At 41.5% G+C, this 20,440-nt stretch overlaps 2 protein-coding genes and 1 pseudogene across 3 annotated transcripts in view; 2 read left to right on the plus strand and 1 right to left on the minus strand.

Moving 5' to 3' along the window:
- The window catches only part of OR56A3 (olfactory receptor family 56 subfamily A member 3), a 79,760-nt gene that overhangs the window by 54,786 nt on the left and 4,534 nt on the right, over window positions 1-20,440 (plus strand). Inside the window, exons 4-5 of one of the 2 annotated variants that reach the window (XM_047426926.1) lie at window positions 6,684-6,825; window positions 7,407-7,475. The gene's annotated coding sequence lies outside the window, so the exon portion shown is untranslated. Of the gene's footprint in view, window positions 1-6,683; window positions 6,826-7,406; window positions 7,476-9,358; window positions 9,713-20,440 lie in introns of those variants that run through there. The other variant, XR_007062481.1, reaches the window with a different exon arrangement.
- On the minus strand, window positions 2,409-9,910 carry OR56A4 (olfactory receptor family 56 subfamily A member 4). The gene is made up of 3 exons (NM_001005179.4): window positions 9,882-9,910; window positions 9,213-9,367; window positions 2,409-5,992 (listed from the first exon to the last, which is right to left on the minus strand). Exon 3 carries the CDS (start codon window positions 5,954-5,956, stop codon window positions 5,015-5,017), a length of 942 nt encoding a protein of 313 aa, NP_001005179.3. The 5' UTR covers window positions 5,957-5,992; window positions 9,213-9,367; window positions 9,882-9,910; the 3' UTR covers window positions 2,409-5,014.
- Window positions 19,960-20,078, plus strand: RNA5SP329 (RNA, 5S ribosomal pseudogene 329; annotated as a pseudogene).

The raw sequence follows: 20,440 nt of genomic DNA on the forward strand, positions 1-20,440 counted from the left end.
GGGTGAATTATAGTTGATAACATAAACTCACTGAGTCTCCTGGTCTACAGCTGTCATAGACAAGAATGAACGAATTCAAGAACCTTCACTCTGGAAATCTCAGTTCTGTTTAAATGGGTAGTGTACAGCTCACATTAAAAAACTTTGCCCCCATGGGAAAGCAGGGCTACAGCAGATTTTGGGATATTGGCAATATTGGCAGAATCTGAATCTTCAACCCCAGACTTGCTGCATTTCTACCAGAAGAATGAATGCTTCCTGCTTATATGGAACACCTGGGTCCCTACATGACTCTCATGCTCATTATTTTCCTAGTTCCAAAGCAGACCTAGCAGCTCAAGGATGCTGTACTGTAATTGCTATTTGTGACTGTTTAATGCACCATCAGACCTACCCCCTCTGAGGTTCCAGAAGCTATTTTCCTGTCCTAAGCTCCACTCTGCCACTTCCCTCCCCACAGCCCACCAGGGCTAAGGCTATTTTAGGCATCTGAACCTAGAGCATAGGCCTATTCTTCAGGGAGGCATGGGTAGAAAACACAGAAGATAAAATCCAATATTGGGATAGTGATTAACAGGAAGAAAATTGAGGAAACATCACGGAGACTTGAGGCATTACAAATAAAAATTAAAATCTTATATACTTGAAAAACAAATATTTCTAGACTTAGGAGAGAGAGAGCTTCATTTCAGACTTTAGGTATACTCTTAGGAAAATTATGTTTAAATGAGAATTACACAGTATCCATAAACCGGGGTCATTTTATTATAGCCAGTATACAAAAATGGGCTATAAAGCCTAACATATTACAGACATATCATTTCCCTATTACCTACATCACAATGGCTTCAAAATTGGAATGGGCAAGTGGAATATTTGTTATTAATGATAAGAGCATGAAAATCCAACTCACTCACTGGACAGGTATAAGATTTGTCCAAATGTGTGTGACAGTGAAGGAAAAATGCCTTGGAAAGCCTCTCGGTACCAGCAATAGGAGTGAGGAAACTGGAGAGGATGCTGAGACACAATCCTCTGTCTCACCTCACAAGTCTGGGCTCCAAGAATGAGATGGTGGGATGACAATTGTGTTGCAGACAATGGTGCATAACTGGGTGAGATTTTACCTATGTCACTTTGAACTTCTCTCTCTGTCTTCCAAAGGAAACCTTGGGTTGGGTATCAGCTCACCTCCTCTGGCCAAGCTATGACTGACCATAAATAATGCCTGAGGATAGAGATGGTTTCATTACACACTACCTGTTACCCTTCCAACCCTACCACCTCTTCCTAGAGAAAAGAAAAGATCCCAGGGAGACTCCTGCTAGAGTCTGATTTATGTATTGTCTGTGTGCCTGAATCAGAGGCCCTCACTTAGAAAGAGTCTAAATTAGGAAGGATAATAAAGCAAAAAAAGGGGAAATTATGATAGAAGGGAGAGCGGCAGACAAAAGTGATAACACCAAGGGAAGGGACTATCACTCTTTTCTATTGAAAATATTTCAGAAGCAGCGAGTAATAACCGACCAGTTTTTCTCAGGTGAAGTGCCAAGTGACACCTGATTTTGAGAGAAGTTGCAGAAGTTATTCTACCCCAAGAAGAAAAGTTGGACTAAAATAAGAACCCAATAGGACACTCTGGAGAAAATATGTAAGACAGCATTTATGGACTCTGTTTCATTTGCTATTTTATAGGTAAACTGAGAGTGAGGATTCTTAACACTGCTTTGAGCAGGGATTGCAAAGCAGTCAAGCCTCTGCACACTGTGTGGTCATGAATTACGAAGATAATTTACCAAGACAGCTGCTTGGACATGGTGAAAACAGTTTCCTATTTTATGATTATTGTGTCATGCTCTCTCAAACATACAAGATGGGATTGTTGGTACAATTTGGAGGGGCAAGTGGCATTGGAAGCCTGGTAGCCTTAAAGAATGTGAGCACTGGAGTGGTATTATAGCCACATATCTTCAATGGCTGTCCCTACGTGTTTCCGAAGGGATGCTTGTGGAGAGCCTCGTGGTGCACCCAGACTGAAATGGATATAAATAGGCTATGTTCAACTAAAGGTCTTATGGGGCACCCAATAGTTTGGAGTTCCTACATGATAACCCTCACATAAGCAAGAGAACTTCTCAAGAAAATAAACTAGTGACAAAAATAACTAGAGGGAAAGAGGAGGACTCAAATTCCATGGATACCTTAATGCCCCAAGGTAAATAAGGTGTGCAATAACGGTCAGCCTATTATTCAGAGGGCAGCAGGGGAAGCAGCAAGCTTGGGGAAATAATAATAATGATAAATCATTCAATGTGTATATAATTTAATGTGTATATACTTACTGTACAAAAACTTTTATTAATTCACTCTTTGAAAAAACAATAAAAAATAAATTAACACCATTTTCAAGGTAATTAAGCCAGAATTTATGAGTTTAACCAAAGTTCACAAAAGCGGAGTACACAAATTTAGCCAAATTATTTTATCTGAGAATAAAATTCCAGTTCTCCAGACTGTCTCAATCCTAATGGTCTTCACTATATAAAGGTTCATTTTGTGCTGGCTAAAAATATGGCTCTCTGTTAGGTACTATAAGGACATATAATAGTATAAGATTTTATTGTTGTTTCCAAGTAGTTATTAAAGAAAATGAGAGATGAGAGATCACTTATAAAATGTTCTACAGATTTTGTTCAACACATTTTTATTTTAAATTTATCTGTATGTATAAGAGACAGTAAAAGTAGCCATGCAGAATTTTAAAGATGAATAAAATACTCTCAACCTAAAAGAAGCTTATGACAGTGTCAGAGAAAGAAATACAGCCACACAAGATGCAAGAATAATGATTCCAGTCGGGAGGATCAGGGAAGGAAGACCTACTGTGGGAGATGGCATTTGAATTCAACCTGGTAGGAAGGAAACAACAGGTGCTGGAGAGGATGTGGAGAAATAGGAACACTTTTACACTGTTGGTGGCACTGTAAACTAGTTCAACCATTGTGGAAGTCAGTGTGGAGATTCCTCAGGGATCTAGAACTAGAAATACCATTTGACCCAGCCATCCCATTACTGGGTACATACCCAAAGGATTATAAATCATGCTGCTATAAAGACACATGCACATGTATGTTTATTGCGGCACCATTCACAATAGCAAAGACTTGGAACCAAGCCAAATGTCCAACAATGGTAGACTGGATTAAGAAAATGTGGCACATCTACACCATGGAATACTATGCAGCCATAAAAAATGATGAGTTCATGTCCTTGGTAGGGACATGGATGAAGCTGGAAACCATCATTCTCAGCAAACTATCGCAAGGACAAAAAACCAAACACCGCATTTTCTCACTCATAGGTGGGAGTTGAACAATGAGAACACATGGACACAGGAAGGGGAACATCACACACCGGGGACTGTTGTGGGTTAGGGGGAGTGGGGAGGGATAGCATTAGGAGATATACCTAATGTTAAATGACGAGTTAATGGGTGCAGCACGCCAACATGGCACATGTATACATATGTAACAAACCTGCACATTGTGCACATGTACTCTAAAACTTAAAACATAATAAAAAAATAAAAAATAAAAAAACCTGGTAGGAAAGATGGGGTTTGGCAAATGGTGATAATGGTAAAAGAAGGCTGATGTGAGAAGCATCAAATGATTGAAGAGAGAGAGCAAAATGGGAATAAGTAATTTTCAAGAAATAATGAGCAGCTCATTTTGGCTACAGTGGCAGAGAAAACAAAGTTTAAGATAAGTCGAAAGTATGTTAGGGCTAGAATATAGCAGGTCTGTAATAAAAAATGCTGTAACATATTAAACATTTTAAACACTGTAGAGATATTTATTTTAATGCAAGTCATTCAGCAAAGATAAGCTTCAGTACAAATGGAAGTAGGATAGTCCAGTTGGGACAGTTGTCAAACAATGCCTGGACAAATGATGGACTTGAAATCTGAATTTGCATCCCCAAAAGAGACAGATTAAGACTGTTTATATTCCTTGGAGATACTGAACTGTGTGGCATCATTAAGAAGGAAATGCCAAAATAGTAGAATACACTATTCTGTGAAAAACAAACCTAGAACTTTCATGTCTGGGAAACTGTTGGCAGCTTTGCCAGCCACAGCTCAGGAGGGAGGATGCAGCAAACAGCATCAGAGGGAATGAACAGGATGGCTCATTTGTGCCTAGGATGGGGACTTCAAGGTGAGATAGGAACTAGGATTATAACGACATGAAGATGAAGATGATGAAGAAAAGAACATACAGCACTTCAAACAGTACAACTCCTCCCCAACCTAAAAATCCTAAAACTTTATCAACCTCATTTACAAACCAAAAACTGAAGAAAGAAAATCTAAGTAGAGAGAAAGAATAGAAAACGCTGCCCTCAGAGAGGTGGTACAGACTGAATATCTTAATTGGGTCTAGGAGAATTTTAGGAGCCAGTGAATAGCACATCTGCCTCAGGTGCCATGGAAGAGAGTCGGGGTATTCAGGGCAAGGCACTCAACCCCAAGTTGTTCCAGGGTGGACATCTGGACTTAACCCAAGCCATGCCTTCATCGCACACAAGCCAGGTAGCCGTCTACCAGGCTGAATCAGAGACAGGGAAGGAATCAGTGTCATTTGCAAATCAAAAAACAGGCTGATCTTTTTAAGGGCATTATATAAAGTTTGTTTCTTTAGTGGTCAAACACTTCCATTCTAATACAGCTCCATTTGTCAAAGTCTTGGCAAGATTCTTTGTTGCAGATTAGATCAGGAAAAATTCCAAAGTAACCATAGAATCCAGAAAAGGGAGGTTTCCTTTCAAGCAACAGAAAACAAAGATTCACAAATAAATGTGTTCATTGTTGCCTGAGATATTGAGAACAGAAGAATCCGAACTCAGGCAGGATTTAAAGTGAAATTTCCTTTCCAACATAAAATTAATTCCCTATTTCCCAATTTTCACTAACAATTAACAACTCTAAAGGTGGATCTAATCCTTTTTATTCTTACAACCTCTTCAGCAGGTTTTGGATTCCCTGCTTGATCTCCTTGGTTCTCACACCATAAACAATGGGGTTCAGAGCTGGGGGAATGAGGTGGTGCAGGATGTTGAGCAGGATGGGGACATCTGGAGGAATTCTCTTCCTGGCCAGGTTAGTGATGACCAGAACCAGCAGGACTGTGCTGAAGAAGAGGATGAGGATGAAGTGGGAACCACACGTGCTCAAGGCCTTGGCCACAGCACCCTCGGCCTTGATCCTAAGCACAACTTTCAATATAAAAGAATAGGAGATAACAATAAGGATAAGATCAGAGCCCAACAGAGTCCAGCCTGCCACAAACTGGTAGAGCTGATTGAAAGTGATGTCATCACAAGAGAGTTTGGACACAGACAGGTTACTGCAGATGCAGTTCTTGATTATGTTTCCTGCACAGTATCTGAGCCTGGCAGAAAGCATGGGAACAGGAAGAGAAACAAAGGCATTCCGGGCTATAACAAAGACCACGGCCCTAGCCACAAACTGGTCAGTGATGATAGACGGGTATCTCAATGGATGGCAGATGGCCACATAACGGTCATAGGCCATGACCATGAACGTGCAGGACTCCATGGTCAAAAAACTGTTCATGATGAACATCTGGAGGAAGCAGGCTGGGAAGCTGATCGACCTGAGGTCAAACCAGAAGATGGCCAGGACCTTGGGGATGACGGTGAGGCAGAGCACGATGTCCAGCAGGGAGAGGAGGCTGAGCAGGTAGTACAGGGGCTGGTGCAGAGAGGCCTCCAGCTGGATGGTGATCAGGAGGGTGGTGTTAGCTCCCATGGCCAGGAGGAAGAGAAGGCTGAGGGGCAGAGACAACCAGTGCTGCCAGCTCTGGAAGTTGGGGAAGCAGATGAGGAGGAATTCAGAGACTGGGGCAGTGGAGTCATTGCTGGGAGATGCCATGTAAAGTTTCCTGATCAATCTGGAGACCCAGTGTACCTTAAAACGTAGTAGAGAAGTACAGAAACATAAAAAGTACATTCTAGACGTAGTAGAGTGTGGGTTTCCACTGAGGCCCTGTATCTGTCCCAATAAAGTTTTTAAAATCACTGTCATCATCCTCCCTTATATTTAACCAAGTATGTATCATATGCCAGCCACAATGTTTTATATTCATTATCTCATTTCATCCTTTTAAAAAATACTAAGGAGTAATTAATATTGTTATCCTAATGTTACAGGTAATAAAATAGAGATAAGGGAAAATTGTAAGAAGAATCTTCTACCACCACGCAGTTTAAAAACCAGCAATCACAAGTATCATTTATTGTTGTGCGTTTATATGATTTCAGTACACTTTACTAATATTTACTTTACAATGATTTTCATTCATTCATTCATTTCTCAACCCACTTATTCCAGTTCAAGTTTACAGGTGGGCCAAGCTTATCCCAGCAGCTTTGGGTTGGTTCCCAGAAGCTCAGGGAACCAGGACGCCATTGCATTACAGGGAGCACTCACACACACAACCACTCAGTCACACTGGGACAATTTAGACTTAAACAGTACATCGTTGGGATGTAGAAGGAAACTAGAGTACCTAGAAAAAACTCAGGGAGACATGGAGAGAACATGCAAACACCACACAGACAGTGGCCCCCACCTGAAATCCATTTTTTTTCCTTGTCAGTGTTATAATGACACAACGTTGTGTGAAATGATGTTACATGAGGACCTGCTGTAATCAAATGAGCTGAAGTTCACCAAAGATGGAATAGAAGTCAGAGAGTGAGTTTTAGGCAAGTAAATATATGCAAGAACCCACTTACCTGGTAAGTAAAATTACCTATTCTTCCTTGTGACCAGGATCCAATTATCCTTAGCATATGTAATCTACATTCTGTAAACTCATCTGCTTTGATTACAGCTGTTTCTTTTGTGGGGTATCATTTGTTTTCCCTGACTACTAAACAAAGAGAAAGAGGCCAAATACTAAGAAGGGTAACAGCAATGACTGTCACAGTCAAAGAGGCAGAATGTAGCCAGGGAGTCATTGCAGGATAAGAGAGGGAGACTAGCTTTGGGAGGCCAAGGGAGGCAGATCATGAGGTCAGGAGTTCAAGACCAGCCTGGCCAACATAATGAAACCTCGTCTCTATTAAAAATACAAAAATTAGCTGGGTGTGGTGGTGCATGCCTGTAATCCCAGCTACTTGGGAGGCTGAGACAGAATTGCTTGAACCAGACCTGGGGGGCGGAGGTTGCAGTGAGCCGAGATCACGCCACTGCACTCCGGCCTGGCAACAAAATGAGACTCCATCTCAGAAAAAAAAGAAAAAAGAGAGGGAGATTAGGAAGTGTGTAATCAGCATAGCTACAATGACTGATCTTTCACCCCTGTCCCATCTGACAGGTCTTCTGTAAGAGGATTGAGGTGTGCATGAGAAGATATTAGAAGACTTTAGCTGCCAGAGAAGATAATGTAAGTATTTATTTAATCCAAGAATTTTCACCTTGAATATTCCAGACTTTCTAAACATAAATTATACAATATACATTATTTAAAAAAATTTACCCATTGTAGGGCCTTAAAACAAACCAAGAATTCAGGAGTTAAAACTGGAATAGGCACAATTATGCATCAGTTCTGCCCTGCATTTCAATATCTGATTAGGAAAATGACCCTCAGTGTGAATTTGAGAAATCAGATTGAACTAATTCACCTTATCTGTAAAGCCTTCTCCTTTCCAATAATCTCAAGTATAGCTACTCTGAATGGCTTAATCTATTTGAACAAGTGAGAAAATAGTGTTTTCTTAGTTCCTCGTCAGAATGCTAAAGACAGCAGTACGTTGCATAATTAAGCAAAAACCATTATCTTTTGAGAGCTTACCTAATTAGTAGAGAAAATTGACTTGCAAACATTTATAGTGCAATACAGTTGTGGCTCTAATAATGACAATCATAAAATAAGGAGACAATATTTCACATAATGAAGCAGTGTAATGTGGTTTAAAAGTTAGCCTCAAGCAGAAACAAATGACAATTCTGGCTCTTATACTGATCATGTAAACCTAAAAGCTATTTCAATTCCATATTGCCCAGTTTTCTCACAAATGAAATAGAATAAATGATACGTAACTTTAGGTGTTATTGTGGGAGGGGAAAGGGGCTGTCATATTCTGAAGTTCTGTTAGGTCAAAAGATGCAACAAGCTAAGAGCATCAAAGGACAAAAAAAATGAGGTAACATTTCGTGGGGGAGAATAAAGACTGTCCTTTTAGGCAAAGGTAAGAACAAAAAAACCTGCCTTCATGGATGTTAAGTAATGACTAGTAATTAGGCATTAGGGGCTACTGCATCCCAAGTTCTTTGGGGAAAAGGAGGCGGGAGAGTAGAGTGTCAAAAGATGTTCAAAGGGAAGCAGTGGCAGCCTTGAGAGGATCCTTAGAAGTCTGTCTGATGGTAGGCATTGTCACGTACATTGTAGGAAATCACAGAATATTTGAAAAGGAACGTGATATGCAATAGATGGTGTCTTAGACCACTTTAACCGCTAAAACAAAATGCCATAAACTGGGTGGCTTATAAACAACAAACATTCAAATCTTGTAGTTCTGGAAGCTAAGAAGTATAAGATCCAAGTGCCAGCAGATTCCTTGTCTGGCTAGAGCTCATTTCTTAGTTCAGAGGTGGCACCTTCTCATTGTGTCCTGACATGGTGAAAGGGGCTAGCTAGCTCTCTACCATCTCTTTTATACAGGTATCAGTCTCAACCATAAGCCCTCATAATTTAATTATCTCACAAAGTTTCCACTTTCTAATACCATCATCTTGGAGGTGGGAGGGAGGTTAGGATTTCAACATATGAATTTTCCGAGGACACAAACACTGAGACCATAGCAGATAGGTCAAAGGCGAATCGTGGAAGGTAGGGAGGCTTTTTGGAGAGTCCCAAATAGTTCAAAGGAAAAGTGATTAAGATCTGAACAAAAGTAATAACCATGTAAATGGAGAAGAAAGAGTAATTTTGAGGGGTGAGGAGGGCTACAAGAAAATTCAGTGTAAGAAAGATTAAGGAGACAGAGAAAGGCTGCAGTCAGGAATGCCTCCCAGATTTTTTAACGAATACAGGAAGACATATGTTCTTTTGGACTTCCAGTAGCACTGATAGATTCTTCCAGGTAATAATATATTTTCAGCCTTGTTTCATAGTTACCTTGTAATTCCTTAATAGCTGGAATGATTTTTCCTCCCTCTGAATTTTCCTTAGTGAAATTGAGGCCTCCTAATCTGAGAAATGAAGAATTGTTGACCATCTGGGGCATTGTTTTCGATCTTCAGTATGCCAACTCCATCAGTTCATACCCTAGACTGATATTCACAAAGGAGTGGTCATTGTGGTTATTCATTCTAGGTGTCAATGAGCAAAACATGGTATCTGACCATGAGTCATTAACAGTCTGGAAAAGTCAGACAGATTCTGAACTAACCAAAATGGCAATGGAAGATTTGAGCCCAGCTATGATTGCCTAGAAGAAGCAGTCACCTAGGTTCATAGATGAATGTAGGGAAGAAAGGAAGATTATGACCTAGCTAGGCACAGAGCCTTGACCTCATAGCTATGATATAGTTAGGAGTCTTTGAGCCTACAGAAGTTTTCAGTCTACAAGCCATGAAATGACTTAGCCTCAGCTCTGAAGGAAATCACAGCCATAGGTCAGTAATGCTTGTACCAGAACCTAAGTACTGTGGCAAGGTTGTCATCTACTACACTAGGCCTTATTGAAAGAGTTCTATATCCTTTTCACACCAGGCTCCTGGATTCCCCCTCCACTCATCAGCATCCTCTTCCTCATAATTTCCTTGGCCCCACCTTGAGACTCACCAAATTCAGAAGGCTGTACTGCTGCTATTTCTTGCTGTTTTCTACAGGAGCTGCAGAGGCTGATTTTATGGACCCTGACTCCACTAGTCCCTTCCCTCCACACTACTCACAAGAGTTAGTGCCATTATTAGGCACCTGGATCCTGGGGCCCTATGGTCCATGTCCCAGGAGAGTATGTTGTGAAAGGTGTTCAGCATTGGGAGTAGAGTGAGGGTGAAAGAGTTCAAAGGCACTTGGGAAGTCTAATTAACAAAAATGGCATTCATCTAGGTAAAATAAGCCAGACACAGAAAGAAAAATATTGCATAATTTCACATCATGTGTGAAACCTTAAAAAGTCAAATTCACAGAAGCAAAGAGTAGATTGGTGGTTACCAAGGGGCAGGGAGAGAAGGAAATGGAGAGATGTTTGTCAAAGGATATAAAATTTCTGTTACAAGTATGAATAAGTTCTAGAGATCTAATGTGAAGTGTGGGGATGGGAATAATATTTTATCATATGGTTAAAATTTGCTAAGACAATAGATCTTAAGACTTGCCACCACAAGAAAAGGTAACGATGTAAAGCAATGGATGTGCTAATTAGTGTGACTGTAGTATTCAGTGTGATGCACTCTATGTGTATCAAAACATCACTTTTTACACTTTATATATAATTTTATTTTAAAAATAAGAAAGGAAAGATAGGAAGAAAGGAGGGAAGAGAAAGAAAAAGAAAAAGAAATCCTAGAAAAAAAAAGTGTAAGGAAACTGAGTGATGGGAATTCTTTCAGGATAATTTCTCTGAATACACCAGTAAGGAAGAAACTGAATCAGGCTATCCTCAGCACTGTAACTCTAGAGGGAAGTACTAGAGGAACATTCCCACCAATGAAAGGAGCATGGACCGTGGCCAGTTGAGGGGAGCAGAGAGTGCTTTTCCTGTGAACCTTTCTCATGCAGTGGGAGTATCAGTGGTCTGGACCCCAGAGATCCCTGGGAGTGGCCCTCTTCATGCTCATGGTGTCATGTCCAAGATTTTATCTTCATGGCTTTTCTTTGTCTAAACTTTTTGTTTCGTAAGTGTGGTTTCGGACAATGCAATTGTTAACAATACTCACTTTCCATAGAGCAATGCCTGGCATTGCTTCCTTGAAAAAACAAATGGAATGGTCACCAGAACAGTCACCACTCATGCACAATAGGACCTAGAATATAGGCTCTCCTGAAGAATATTCAGGATCATGTGGGCTTTGGGCATAAGAATCTTAGAGAGAGAAGAACAAGTCTTTTTCTAGGACTCATGGTTTCCTCCCCACAACTTCTGAGAAGGAGACATTAGGGCAAAAATGTAGATGGAATATAATCCCACTCCTTACATACAGTAACTCTGGCCGCATCTCTATCTTGCTATGTAGGTGTCTGAGGTAAAGCTCCAAGGACAATGGAAGCATCAAATAAAGTTAGTAGACATGCTAAATGAAGAAAACTATTTCATGAGTGAATAATTGCTCAAGGAAATGTATATTGCTAAGAGCATGCAGTTTAAACTGTGCAAAATATTCTTATCCTCAGAATTTCTTATAAATAAATAATTCCTCTCCACTCTCAGATCATGGGAAGGTTGGGAAGAGAAAATGTGATGCTTTTGTTCGAATGCTTGTTTTACCACTTTCTGGCCGCTTCTACTTGGGCAATGTTAGAGACTCTCAGAACCACAATTTCCTCATCTGAAATATGAGGATAATGAACCTTTCAATACATGGTAGTTGCGAGGATAAAATTCAATTTATTTTTTCATTTAACAAACATTAATCTTGACTCTATAATTTACTAAGCCCTATACTACATGTTATAAATGCAGTACAACAAAGAATCATTCCTGCCATCTTAGAGGGAGACCAAAATGTAACATATAATTACACCAAGGATTGTATTATCCTGTATTTATATCCTGTATATATCCTGTATGTATTTATCATAATAAATCTTCATTGAGATATTAATGGGTCATGTTATTCTGATTATTACCTGTTATTTCATCTAATCCGAATATTAACCAAATGAGAGATATATTATTATAATCCACAATTTACTGATGTAGAATCTAAGTAATGCATGTTGTGAGTTGAATTGTACCCCTAATGAAGATATGTTGAAGTCCTAACCCCTAGCATCTGTTAATGTAATCTTATTTGGAAACAGGGTCTTTGCAGATGTAATAAACTTAAAAGTCACCAGTTAACACAAAGACTGATACATTTCCAGTTCAACCACATCCTGAGAGTATTTACCAAGATCCCATCAGACTCTGCCGTTGATTTTTCTTTCCTCATGCCAGGAAATTGCCAAATTTTTGCTCCATTTCATACTGGTTTCTTCTAGATTGGCAAAAGTCTTCAGAACAAATGAAGCTGTAAATCCAGGGTTTCTCTCTCTCAGTTTTTAACTGCTCCAAAATTTTGATTTTTCCTTCTTAACTCTTCAGTGCTTTTACAAATATGTTTATGTTTGATTAATTCAAGCAGCTTTTATAGTGATGATTTAGCTGGATAAAAATCTGATTATTGACAAGTATTTTACATGTGTATTCAAATTTAATATATTCAATTCAATATATTTCAATTTATTTGAGTTACACACACATACGTGTGAGCACATGCACACACACACACATAATACATTATATATTTCCACAGACTTCTGATGTCTATTGCTGTTAAGAATTGCATTGTCTGTCAAATTGCCGCTCCTCTATAGGTAATGTACTATTTATCCGGCTCTATTCAGAACTTTTTGTCTTTGGGGTTTTGGATGTTAGTAAATGAGTCTAGATTTATTTTAAAAGTTATTCTCTTTATGATTAATTAAGCTCCTGAATCTGAAGATAATTCAGCCATTATCCCTTTGAATGTTTCTCCTCCTCCCTATTTTCTACATTCTTCTGTGCAAATCCAGTTCCATCTATATTGAACCTTCTTTTTAAATTCTCTTTATCTTTTAACCTCTATTTCCCATTCCATTCTGTTTCAAATTGTATTGGTTTCAGATTAAGCTCTTCAACTTTAGCTCCATTTTATCAGTTCTCAACTAAGCTATATCCATCTTTTGTAATTTGTCTTAATGTCAGTGATTACATTTTTTAGATATTCTAGAAGTCATAGGTGTTTTTTTAAAAAAAATACCTGGTTTTCCAATAAATTAGGACTTCTTTCTCATGCTTTTTTACTCCATCTTTAATTTATTTAACCATTTTAAACATAGCTATGTTATATATAACTTGTGACTGATAATCCTGTTTTCCAAAATTCTGATATCTAATTCTACTGACTCTTGCTCATGCCGACTTTGTAATTTTGAAATGCTACCTTATGATCAACAAAGCTATTTCTGTTAGATCTCTTAGGATCACCCTAAATACACTGCTATGGTTTGAATGTTTGGGTCCTCTTCAAAAGGTACATTGAAACTCAATCCCTACCTAATACAAAAGTATTAAGAGGTGTAGCCTTTGGGAGGTGATTAGGGCATGAGAGATATTCCCTCATTAGGATTAGTGCTTTTATAAAAGAGCTAGAGGAAACTAGCTAGGTCGTTTTTGCCTCCTTTTGCAGTTTCACCATGTTAGAACAGTGTTAAAAGTGTCATCTTAAAAGCAGAGACCAGGCTCCCATCAGACATTGAAATTGCCAGTATCTTGATCTTGGATTTCCTACCCATCAGAAGTGTGAGAAAGAAATTGTTATTCTTTGCAGATTACCCAGCCTCAGGTAGTTTGTCATAGCAGCATGAACAATCTAAGACAGACATTTCATACTAATTTCTCCCCTTGGGATTCCCCAGACCATATATTATAAATATCAAATCATACCTATCTGAGGGATTTTTTTATTCTTTCTAATGCCTAGTTCAAGACAGAAATGTGTGTGTGTGTGTGTGTGTGTGTGTGTGTGTGCACGTGAATGTGTGAGTGGTTTCTTTTGTCTGCCCCTTCATTAAAAGTACTGATCCCTGGTACTGTGAGTATCTGGGTGCCTTAATTTTATCTCCTCCCCTTGTGAGTATTCAAATTCTTATTTTCTGTATGTGTATAACCACTAAAATGTGTTTGTGTTTTAAGCTGTGTTATTATAAAAGAGTCAAAAAGTTAAAATGCAAACCCCTTTGTGTAAAAACTAATAAATGCTCCTATCACAGCCATAAATACAATGTCTATCAGTCTTATTACATCTCTCATCACTTTTTGATCACTAACTAGCAAATTACTTTCTTGCAAACATAACTGTGCTTTTGAGAGGAGATTTATTTTATATATATATATATATACACACATATATTTTATTTAACAGCTGGGGAATTTTTTATGCTGCATAGTCTGCCATGAAAAGGAAGTCAGGAATGCTCTTTATATGGAGGGCAGCACTCATATACTAATGTAATGGACGGAATAAACCTTCAGTGTGAGACATTGGAAAATGTTCTTAAACAATAAATTTTTGCATTTTAAACCCTTGTTAGCTCTGTTCATGCAATTTTTCTCTCTTTCTCTGGATCAAGCTGGACAGGTAATGAATCTAGATACCTGTATTTTATCTGCCTCAGTTCAAAACATGTCCTGACATTATCCAGAGCATTCAATTCATCCTGAAAGTACAATCATGTGGCAAATGACAGATGATGGCATTTTAATCAATGACAATGTTATGGGATCTTTGGGGTGTCGCTTTTATGGCTAGAAACTTCTGGCCAGTGGTGCCTTTGCCTGAGTTTTGCCTGGGCCCACTCGGCTCGTTCTGTCCATTTGGCCTGGCAGGTTACACTCAACTCATGCTACCAGCCTGGATCCCACACCTCCAAGGGAGACTGGAGTCAGGCACAGAGCAGTGAGGGGTGGGTGTGAGCGAGCATGGGGTCTGGCCACTCTGCAGTCAGACATGCCAGCTGCTGCCACGGGCAGACAGATTCAGGTGCCAGGATGGGCACCAGCTCTCTATGTGGCTGCAGCTGGACTAGGCACACTGCAAGCAGCTTCCCCGGCTGGCACCAGGGAATGTGGTGGTGCCCAGAAGCTTGGAGACACCAGGAACCATAGGGCCCCAAAGAGGGAGTCACAGCCCCGGCTCAGGGAGCTCCCAGATCTGGGCTCCCGAAAGGGCTGTAGCTCCTCTTTTCACCTGCAATGTGGTGAGCAAGGAGCATGTTTCAGCCCTATTTCTGTTACAGCAACTCTTTTAGCCTTGCCATTCAGCAGGTCCCGAGATTTTGTCCTGTGACCAGGAAGAATGAAGTATACAGACAAGCGGAGGTTGAGCAAGATGAAGAGGAGCTTTATTGAGCAATAGAACAGCTCAGAGAAGACCTGAAGTGGGCAGTTCCTTTCTGTAGCCAGGGTGTCCTCACAAGTGTTTAGCTTCTAGCAGACAGGGTAGCTCCTTTCTGCAGATAGGTCATGCCAACAAATTGTCAGTTGTCAGCAGAGAAAGTAGTTCCTCTCTGCACCTGGTCATCCCAGCAAGTGTTCAGTTATCAGCAGAGGGGGTAGCTCCTCAGCTGGTCATCCTGTTGTCTGCAGCTCTCAGCAGAGAGGAGGCATAGAGTGTGTGGCTCCTCTCTGCAGGCAGGTCATCCCATTGTCTGCAGTTCTTAGGGGAGAGGGTAGCTCCTCCCTGCAGCTGGTCATCTCATTATCTCTCGATCCTCTTCTCTGCTCTGGCTGATCCAGGGGCTTTTATGGGCCTTATAGGAGAGGAAGTGTGCATGACTGGTCCATGGGCAGCCGGGGGCAAGCCCAGAAAAGGCACCACAAGTCCTCACTCCAGTCCATCTGCCTCCTGCCGCCATCCATGGTGCTCAGGCTAATTGCACCAAGGGGCACCTTTAGGCCACTGCCAAGCCACCCTCAGCACCTCCCTCAGCTTTCCTCCAACACTTGTCAGTGTCCAAAGTCCAGGGCAGCCAAGGTGGCAGGGCCTGAGCATGTGCACACCAGCTGGGCTGTGATAGCACCCAAGCTCAGCCCCAACTCTGCTCTGAGATCTGTGTAGGTTCTGGGAGTGTGGAGAGGCCATGCAGCAGGAGCAGGCACCTCTGAGCCTGCAAGGGCAGAGGGTGGCCTTCCTGAGCCCCCAAGAGCGCAGAAAGGCCCGGGTCTACAGCCCCAACTTGGGTGGCTGCATCTGTGCCCAGGGGTGTGGGACTCCTGCCCAAGAGCACAGGGAGGTCCAGGTCCACAGCTCTGATTTGGGCAGCTGCAGCCATGCCTGGGAGGGTGGGGCTGCTGCCTGCTCCTGGCTCCTATCAGCTCCATGGAGCATGCAGCCTCAGCCACATCCCCTCACAGCCTGTGGCAGGGGCTCCAGGCCCTTGCTGGGCACAGGCTGGCATTGGAGGCAGGGGTGACATCTCCACAAGCTCCCGCTGTGATCCTGATGGTCAAGGGCAGCCCAGAACTCCCCCTTGCCCAGCTCGCGGCCCTGCAGGGGGAGGCAATTGTTGGGGGGATCCTCCAGGAGCAGATCATGGGCCCCAGGCCCAGCTGTTGGGAGTGTCAGGCCTGGCAGTCACCCTGATGTGGGGTGGAATCTGGGGACACTGCCCCAGGTAGCCCTGCACAGAGCATCTTCCTGAGGTGCAGGAACCCAGTGCCCTCAGCAGGGTGGGCATGGCACCCTGAGTTTTGCTTGGGCCCACTCAGCTGTGCAGTCCAGGAACCTAGGGATCAACCCACTCTGTCTTCTGCTTCTGGCACATGTGTGCACCATCAGAGAGCCTAATAATGAAACAAAAACCTGAGGCTGATGCCCAAGCACACATCTGGGGGTTTGGAAATCATTCTACCCCACTCATCATAGCTTGTGCCCATGTGCACCATCAGAGAGCCTAAAGTCAGGCCAGCATTGTCTGCCACCACCGGCACCCACCTATATGTGCTACCTGGGGGCCTGAGGACTTGCCTTCCCAGCCTGTCACCAACACTCCCAGCAACCTGTGCATGCCACCTGGAAGCAGACGGATGCCCTGCAATCACTGCTACCACTGCCAACACAATGCATGCTACCCAGAGGCCCAAGGATCAGCACAAACACCTGGCCCACCACTGCCACTACCAGTACCCAAACAAGCTGCCTGAAGGTTTAAGAATCAGCCCATCTCAACTTGCTAACACCAGAGTCCACGTATGCTGCCTACTGGCCCAAAGACAGGAAAACACAGCCCACTACTGCCACCACTGATGCTCAAAGCCCAGCACATCTGACATCATTGTCCCCAGCAAAGCCTGAAGTCTTCAATAACAACCACAGCCTAAGCCACTGAGAAAAAAACACAAAAACTAATGACACTATGATATAGTTTGGATCTGTGTCCCCACCCAAATCTCATGTTAAATTGTAATCCTTAATGTTGAAGGTAGGGCCTGGTGGGAGACGATTGACTCACGGGGGTGCTTTCCAAGAATGGTTTAACACCATCCTCCGGGTGCTGCTCTCATAATAGTCAATAGTTATCATAAGATCTGTTTGTTTAAAAGTATGTAGCACCTTCTCCCTCTTTCTTGGTCATGCTCCTTCCATGTAAGATACCTACTCCTTCTTTGCCTTCCTCCATAAGTAAAAGCTCCCTGAGTCCTCACCAGAAGCAGATGCTGTTATGCTTCCTGTACAGCCTGTGTAACTATGAGCTAATTGGTACCAAAGAGTGAGGCATTTTGATAAAGATACCTGAAAATGTGGAAGCAACTTTGGAACCGGGTAATGGACAGATGTTGGAAGAATGTGGAGGGCTCAGAAGACAAGAAGATGAGGTAAAGTTTGGACCTTCCTAGAGATTTGTTAAATTTTTGTGAGCAAAATGCTGAAAGTACTATGGATAATGAAGTCCAGGCTGAGGAGGTCTCAGATGGAAAAGAGGAATTTATTGGGAACTGGCGTAAAGGTCACCTTTGTTACACCTTGGCAAAGAGCTTTGTTGGATTGTGCCCCTGTCCAGGAATCTGTGGAACTTTGATCTTGAGAGAGATGACTTAGGGTATGTGGCAGAAAAAATTTCTAAGCAACAAAGCATTCAAGATGCAGCCTATGCTCATATTCATGGGCAAAAAAAAAAAAAAAAAAAAAAAAAATGACCTGAAACTGGAACTTATATCTAAAAGGGAAGCAGAGCATAAAAGTTTGAAAAATTTGCAGCCTGGCCATGTGGTAGAAAAGGAAAGCCCATTTTCAGGGAGGCATTCAAGCAGGCTGCAGAAATATGCATAAGTAAAAAGAAACCAAGTGCTAATACCCAAGACAATGGGGAAAAAAAATCTCAAAGGCATTTCAGAGACCTTCACAGTAGCCCCTTCCATCACAAGTCCAGAAGCCTAGGAGGGAAGAACGGTTTTGTGAGCCAGGCTCAGGGCTCTGCTGCCCTGCACAGCCTGGGGACACTGCTGTCTGCATCCCAGCTGCTCTAGCTCCATCCCTGGTTCAAAGTGGCTCAGGTATACCTCAGGCCACTGCTTCAGAGAGTGCAATATGGGGTTGGAGCCTCGCACAGTTCCCACTGGGACACTGCCTAGTGGAGCTGTAAGAACAGGGCCACCATCCTCCAGATTCTGGTATTCTAGGGCTGCCAGCAGCTTGCATCCTGTGCCTGGAAAAGCCATAGGAACTCAATGCCAGCCTGTGAGAACAGTGGGGGCTGAGCCCTCCAAAGCCACAGGGGCAGAGCTGTCCAAGGCCTTGGGAGCCCACCTCTTGCATCAGTGTGCCCTGGATGTGGAACATGGAGTCAAAGGAGATTATTCTGGAGCTTTAAGGCTTAATGACTTCCTTGCTGGGTTTCAGACTTCCATGGGGCCTGTAGCACTTTTCCTTTGGCCAATTTCCTACTGCCTGTACCCCCGTTGTATGATGGAAGTAACTTGTTTTTGATTTTACAGGTTCATAGGTGGAAGGGACTAGGCTCGTCTTAAATGTGACTTTGGACTTTGGACTTTCAAGCTAATGTTGGAATGAGTAAAGACTTTGGGGGACTGTTGGGAAGGCATAATTGTATTTTGCCATGTGAGAAGGACATGAGATTTGCAAGGGGCCAGGGATGGAATGCTATGGTGTGGATTTGTGTCCCCGCCCAAATCTCATGTCGAATTGTAATCTCCAATGTTGGAGGTGGGACCTAGTGAGAGGTGATTGAATTATGAGGGTGGTTTCTCATGAATGGTTTAACACCATCCCCCTGGGTGCTGTTCTCATGATAGTAAATATTATCATGAGATATGGTTGTTTAAAAGTGTGTAGCAACTCCCCACTCTCTCTCGGTCCTGCTCTTGCTATGTAAGATGGCTGCTTCTGTTTTGCCTTCCTCCATGAGTAAAATCTCCCTGAAGCCTCACCAGAAGCAGAGGTTGCCATGCTTCTTGTACAGCCTGAGGAACCATGAGCCAATTAAATGTCTTTTTTAAATAAATTACGCAGTCTTAGGTATTTCTTTCTAGCAGTGTAAGAATGGACTAATACTCACTGATTACAACTGAAGAACTCCTAGGGAGACTACACTACTGCAAGCACCCAAAATCAAAGCTAAAGTGCCCTACCCAACTAACACTATAGTTACATGCACACACACAAAAATTCTTTCCTTACAAAAGTGAATCTTAAAAAAAATGAAAAAAAGAGACTGTTACACCAAATGTGCAGATACCAATGTAAGGAAGCAAGAAGTGTGAAAAAGCAAGAAAACATGACATCTCCAAAGTAACACAGTGATTCTACAGCAACAGATTCCAATGAAAAAGAAATTTATTAAATGCCTGAAAAAGAATTTCAAATAATATTATTAAAGAAGTTCAGTGAGATACAAGAGAACACAGATAAATAATACAAAAAAAAACCCCAGAAAATCAATTCAGAATCTAAATGAGAAATTCAACAAAGAGATATCATTAAAAAAAAAAGAAAAGAAACAGAAAACTTGGAACTGAATAATTCAGTGAAAGAAATAAAAAACACAATAGAGTTTCAACAATAGACTAGGTTAAGCAGAAGAAATAACTTCAGAACTTGAAGACAGGCTTTTGAAAATAATTCAGTCAGACCAAAAAAAATAATAATATTTTTTAGTCTATGGCCATACCACCCTGAATGCATCCAATTTCATTGGATCTTGGAAGCTAAGCAGGGTCAGGCCTGGTTAGTACTTGGATGAGAGACCTCCTGGGAATATTGGGTGCTGTAGGAAAAAAAAAAATTCTGAAAGATGAAGAAACCCTTTGTGATAAATGTGACACCATTAAATGGTCAAATATTCAAATTTTAGGTGTTCTAGAAAGAGAAGAGAGAAGAGATAAGCAAATGCAAATAAAACCTATTTAACAAAGTAATTGCCGAAAACTCTCCAAGTTTCACAAAAGATTTAGATATCTAGATATAGGAAGCTCAAATATTCTCAAATAAATAAAAGCCAAAAAGGTATTCTCCAAGATATATTATAGTTAAACTACTAAAAGTTTAAAACGAAGAAAGAATTCTAAAAATAGCAAGAGAAAAGCATCAAGTCACATCTAAGGGAGCATCTGTCAGATTAAGGGTAGATTTCTCAGC

Source organism: Homo sapiens, chromosome 11 (genome assembly GCF_000001405.40).
Source record: "Homo sapiens chromosome 11, GRCh38.p14 Primary Assembly".
Lineage (NCBI taxonomy): Eukaryota > Metazoa > Chordata > Mammalia > Primates > Hominidae > Homo > Homo sapiens.